Below are 6,000 nucleotides of genomic sequence, written 5' to 3'. Positions count from 1 at the left end.
TCATAGGCACAGTATGGGGGAGTGGCAGGCCAGGGTGGTCTTGGGAAATGCAACATTTGGGCTGGAAGGCAGGAGTGTCAGTCCTCACCTAGGTCGGTGGGCGTGGAGCCCTAGCAAGGGACCACACACTCCTCTACCCAGCACTTCACTTCGCCCATCCCTATCATTTAAAGGGACCACGCTCTTCCCTTCCCAGCACTCCCCTATCATTTCTACACTGTAAATTTTTTTTGTTTATATTTGTCTCATCTATCAGGTTGTGAATTCCTTCACATTAACTTGCATGGAATTCATCTTGTTATAATGTGGTACCTAAAAATCCTAGTACTCTGGTTCAAAAATATATGTTTAACAAATGTTCAGTGAAAGCGAATGAATGAATGAACGATGACTCCCACACACGGAGGAACCCTGTCCTCCTGTAAGGTACATGATTTGAAGGTCCCAACAAGTCTATCTTGGAACAGGCCCAGTTGCGATGCCCATACAGTTCTCGGACTAACAAAAAGTGTCACACCATCCAGATATGCTTAATTTGGAAGCAGCTGTAAGCAGACTCCCGGCCAGCTCAAGTTTCCTCACCTGGGAAGAGGCGGGAGGCTGTTTACCGTACGGAAGCATAGCGGCCGCCTGCCTGAGTTCGGGAGCGCGGGTTCCTTTCCGGGAAAGAAGCCTAGGCCGTTTTCCGTACAGCAGCATGGCGGCCGCCGACGGGAGGCGGTCATAGCATCACGCCCGGGGGAAGAGGCCGCCGTAAAGGAAGCTCTGCTTCCTCTTCTTCCTTCTCCCGCCTCCCACCGGCTGTCGTAAAACGGTGAATGGAGAGCGAGTTGTGGGGGGGAAAAAGGGAGGACAGGGGGCGCGGAGTCAGAGTGGCGCAGCAAGTGGCCGCAGGTGGCGACGGTGGCGGGGGGTGGGGTGTGAGGTAATCCAGGGGTCGCGGAAGAGGAGGCTGAGAGGGTCAAAAGAAAACTAAAGCTGCAGTCCGGCCTACTGTTCCGGGGGCCGCGGAGCCCCCACCCGGGGAGATGGACCTCAACCGGATCATCCAGGCGCTGAAGGGCACCATCGACCCGAAGTTGCGGATTGCAGCCGAGAACGAGCTCAACCAGGTGAGGAGAGGGTCTTCGGCGACCCTCTTCCGCCGAAGGGGCGCCCCTGCCGGCTGGCCGGGCTCCCTCTCCCCGGCGCCCCTCGTCCTCACCCCCACCGGGCTGGGGCTGACGCCTCACGGCTGGTCCCGCTCTCCGACCCCGCTGCCCCCCGGTCCAGTGGAGCAGGGCTCCCAGGATCTTTGCCGAACAGCTCGCGCACCTGTTGGCCACCTTTGCACCTTTTCGTGTCGTCTCCCTTCTCCAGGGCAGTTTGTTCTGCCTACTTGGTCCGCAAGAAGCAGTTTTTGCAACCTGTGCTAGTGTTTTCAGGGTGTGATTTATTTTCCTTAAGTGCGCGGACTTGGGGAGCAGGTGGGAATTTTACTTACAGTTCAAATCTGAGTTCAGCTTTTTTCCAAACCCAGCCCTTTTTAGGTGTTGCTGTGGAGCACGCTGCCCACCGCCTCCTCCTGTCGGGTTGGCAGGACTGTTTTGACACCGATTGGCCGAGTTTTGCGGAGCGCTGGGCAGTGCTGTTGGGAGAGTGCTCTGGGAAGAATAGGCAGTTTTCATGGTGATACTGCTTTATCTAAGACACATCAAAGTAAGATGTGTTGGAGAAATTTCTTATGAATGCTAAAATGTGTAAGACTTCTTTCTTTTCTCCGTCTCCTGTTCTTCCTAATTAGCCTTGACGTCTTTCCAGCGTTACCCCCACACTTCAAAATTTTAATGATCCCAAACTCCAGCTTATTTCTTCTTCCCTACCGGTACTTAAGAATCACAGACCTCTTACTAAAAAGTAGGGATTAAGAGCTACCACTGGGATGGAGCAACAGCTGTTTTAGGTTGTGATGACTTGTAAAATGTAAATATTCCAAAATCAGCTGTTCTCAAAGCGTTGCCCAGGACCTGGAGCTTCAGCATCACCTGAGAACTTACAAATTATGCAAATTACGGGGCTTCAGTCCAGACTTAACGAATCAGAAACTGTGGGGGTGGGACCAGTTGTATTTTAACTAGCTCCCCCAGGTGATTCTGTGCCTCCCGAAGTGTGACTGAAGTGTGACTGTCCTAAGTAAATGTTTCTGTTGGAATTGACTTTAAAAAGCTGCGTGTTGGGAATCTTTGAAAGGGATTATTTTAATAGGAAACCTAGGTGGAGTTTGGAGTAGGTATAAATGCAGGATTCCCCAGAGATAAAAGGGAGAGTGAAGACACTGCCAATGGAGAGGAGGTTGGGTTGAACTAATGCCCAAAGATAATGCACTGGTGCCTGAAAAAGAAATGGACTGTCACTTAGAATAGGGGGAAGTTAAAGTCAGTACCTGTCCCAGGCTTTGCAGAGTAAAAGTACTGTATGTTGGCTGGCTGGAAGAATAGTAATCCAGGGGTTAGTTAGGAAGAACAAAGCAGGAGCTGAATTTGCAGTCTACTAATATGAACAGGGGAGTTGGCCTGTTTATGACCCCCTTCTCACAATGAGGCCAGGTGTTCCTTTGATATCAGGTTACACTTCCCTGCCCTTCACCTAACCTTCATTTCTTTCTGATTCATCAGTATATAAGTACAGTTGATGTTATAGAAGTGGAAAAAGTATATGAGAAAGCCTGCAGAACTAGGAGACATTTAAGACCCAATCCTATTTTTTTTCCCATGGTATTTCAGACAAAAGCAGGCACGTTCAGGGTGGTATGGCCGTAGACTCTTGATGGTAGTTCAATCCAAATCCATTCCATCATCACTCTGCCCTGCCCCATAGTGTCCCACCTCATCACAGACCGTGGTTTCCCCAGCAATTTCTAAAGGTAGCTTATTGCTATACCACTCATTTAGCATTTATAATTTATATAAAGCATAGTGAAATGCTTTAAGGTTTTTTGAATTGGCTGTAAATAGAACAAAATATAATGTCACCTAACAGTGTAGTAAAACATGCTTATGATGATGGGTTTTGCCTGCTTGTCCTTTGCCACCACTGTAACATCCGACTTTGTTGGATAAATGAGTGGGTAAATCACCATAAGTGGTTATGGTCCACCTCTTCGACTTTAGTCTAGGTCTCCCCTCAGCAAGTATGTTCTGCATAGGGAATGGGAGCAGCTTCTGCGGTATACTGATGGATCTGTCAATTGCCGTTTAGAAAAATAAGCAGCTTCTGCACCACAGCCTATATTCCAATGGATAAATTCTCATTTGGAGCTATATATTTTTTTCAGGCCAGCATTTTTCTGTTACTAGTGAGTAGTTTTCTGACTGCTATTTGTGATATTGTTTCTGTGGGAAAATGTATTTGTAGTTTTATCTCAGGATATTGAGCGAACCCTATACATCTTCCTCATTTTCTATAGACCAGAAGTCCCATTAGAGGCAGCATAGAGGAATAGGAATGGGTAGGTACCTTGCTTAAGTAATTCATCCAGAAAGGTGTCCTCTTTTAATAAATTATCCTTCACATGGCCTCGGTAGGGAAATAAGTTTTTACTTTGATTGCCAAGCTTTTGAATCTCTGCTTTCCATGCATGTGTACATGCAATTTTCATTACCCTTTATTAAGATAATTTGTTTATGTAAATAGCACAGAAATATTTATTAAGTTACTATGTTGCAGATATTGGTATAAGAGTTTGTTTCCATGGAGCTGGGGATACAGGCAAGTAACTAATATAATTTCAGGTCATAAGTGCTGTGGAGAGTAAAGCCCGAGCAAGAGTGTTGGGATGTATAGCCATTCTCTGAAGAATGGCATTGAGTAGAGAGTTGGATGTTGTGAAGGAATGGGCCAGGCAAAGAGCAGAGAGAGGAACAACAGTTCAGAAAAGGCCCTCAACTTGGCGTGCTGGAGGACTGAGAGGGAATATCGGTTCAGAAAAGGCCCTCAACTTGGCATGCTGGAGGACTAGAAAGGTTAATGCAGCGGAGCAGTGAGTCAGAGGATGGGAGGAGACATCAGTTTTTTGCTTTATGAGTTCTCATAAATGCAGAATTTAGTTAAGCAAACTGCGTATTTGCAGAAAACTTCACAGATACAAAATATCCTCAGGAAATCATTGAGAAATTAGTCTTATTTATTTTTTAGAAACTCGAAGCCTGAAGAGGCACAAAGAAATTGAGTAACTATTTCTGAGTAAAGTAGTATGAAAATATATCTGACTATATCTCTGAATGTTTTAGCTGGCCAAGTTAATATAGAATGAATCAATGCTGAAAGAAGACAAGGTTTCTGAAATTTTTTAAAATGGCAAACAGTTGCAAAAAGAGGAGTTTCAAAATCTGTACAATGGCAACAGTGTTGACATAAAAGTCTCTGCAATAGGTATATTACTTTCAAATAAGTAGCATTTATTTAAGTGTAAAGGTTATTTTGTATGTGTGGAATAAGATTTTTAAACAAATAACGGAAGTCAGTTTTTTTATGATTAGAATAAACTATATAGATGTTTTAATCTTTGATTCATGACAAGATCTTTCAGTATTTACAAAGATAAACATGAGTTATAATACATATGTAGAAGGTGAAGGCTGGGTGAATCTGTGTTAATTTTGCCTCCTATCAACGGTTGTTAGAACAAATCTGTTTTCTTAAAAACTGCTTTGAAATTCTGATGGTTTCAATTATGGATAAAAAAGAATTTACATGCCACAGATTTGTGATCTGAAGACTACACAGGATGAAAGGAAGAAAATTATAATTCAAAATTTTGTGAAGGATATAGAAAGATTGGGAAAGCACAATGTTCTTGGATGAAAAAGATTAATATTTTTAAAATGCCAGTTGTGTCCAAATTAATTTTTTAATCAAACACTTACCTTCATAGATGTGATTTTAATTTAAAAAAATGAATAATATGCCCAAACCTAGCTGTGTATTGAAAGGGATGCCCCCACAGATCCAGGCTCTGAGGAGAGGGGTGAGCTGAACAGACTCTCTGGGTCATTGTCTGGTTTGGCCTCACTGGAATTTGAGTCTTTTCAAATGAATGTCAGTGGACAAAGGCATATGTGGACTCTGGAATGTGACAGGACTGTAATATAGTCCAGGTACTGTACATCTGGATATAACGTGATCAGAAGGAGTGGATGCTCTGTATTTTTTTGCTTTGAAGGTCCCCATCGCCAAACTCAGGAGCAGATCATAGTAGAGCACACCTGTGGGGTGAAGTGACCCAGGCCACAGGGCAGAGCAGGAGCTTCATCCCCACAGGCTCACTTAGGCATTAAGTGTAAAAGATAGTACAGCAGTAGAGGGCAGCTGGTGATGACAGTGTGCTCAACCCCATCTCGTGAGTCACACTGTTCCAATCTGGACTGGCTTCTCTCCATTGCTCACGCTCAACTTTGTAACATTATCTTCTCTGTTTTGCTCTGTTGGGTCTCCTATTTCCTGTAGCCTTTGTTTTTTTGTTTTCTGTTTGTCAAAAATACCATAAACAAAATTGAAGCACAAATAATCTAGGAAGAAATACTTGCCATGTATAGGTCAAATAAAAGATTGAGATTTTAAATTCATAAATAGCTCTTAGAATTTATTAAGAATAAAGCAAATACTCCATTTACAAAAGGATAAAGGGAGTAAGGAATTTGTAGAAAAAACAGCCAACAAAGAGGAAAACACCCAACCTCCTTAGTAATAGAGAAAATGCAATTTAAAACATTAATAAAATTTTAAAGTTTCAAAGGAATGATGATACCTGTATTAGATAGATGGACACTACCATATGCTGCTGTTGGGAGTGTAAATTGGTATACTACTTCTGGAGACCATTCTGACAATATGTTAAAAAAAATCATAAAAATGTTCACATTCTTTTATTCATCAGTTTCTGCTCAGGAAATTTTTTTGACTTGAAGTATTTTAGTAATCTTCATTTTGCCTTGAAGGGTTTGTCTCAGTTTAAAAGTTTTT

At 43.1% G+C, this 6,000-nt stretch overlaps 1 protein-coding gene across 3 annotated transcripts in view, besides 2 other annotated features; it reads left to right on the top strand.

The window, feature by feature from the left end:
• Nucleotides 418-917: an enhancer, noted in NCBI's record as "active region_6158". NCBI's record gives its function as "activates an Ori minimal core promoter by ATAC-STARR-seq in GM12878 lymphoblastoid cells {active_cell/tissue: GM12878}" and the evidence as "EXISTENCE:reporter gene assay evidence [ECO:0000049][PMID:35858748]".
• Nucleotides 807-6,000, top strand: part of IPO8 (importin 8) — a 66,882-nt gene continuing 61,688 nt past the window's right edge. For 2 of the 3 annotated variants that reach the window (NM_006390.4, XM_017018693.3), the window contains exon 1: nucleotides 807-1,112. In NM_006390.4, the coding sequence (NP_006381.2) occupies nucleotides 1,029-1,112 (84 nt within the window). In that variant the 5' untranslated portion in view covers nucleotides 807-1,028. Of the gene's footprint in view, nucleotides 1,113-1,348; nucleotides 1,699-6,000 lie in introns of those variants that run through there. The other variant, XM_017018691.3, reaches the window with a different exon arrangement.
• Nucleotides 1,008-1,057: a silencer, noted in NCBI's record as "silent region_4321". NCBI's record gives its function as "represses an Ori minimal core promoter by ATAC-STARR-seq in GM12878 lymphoblastoid cells {active_cell/tissue: GM12878}" and the evidence as "EXISTENCE:reporter gene assay evidence [ECO:0000049][PMID:35858748]".

This window comes from Homo sapiens, chromosome 12, assembly GCF_000001405.40.
Source record: "Homo sapiens chromosome 12, GRCh38.p14 Primary Assembly".
Lineage (NCBI taxonomy): Eukaryota > Metazoa > Chordata > Mammalia > Primates > Hominidae > Homo > Homo sapiens.
Note: the sequence above shows the minus strand (reverse complement) of the source record. Positions and strands in the feature narration are given on the sequence as shown.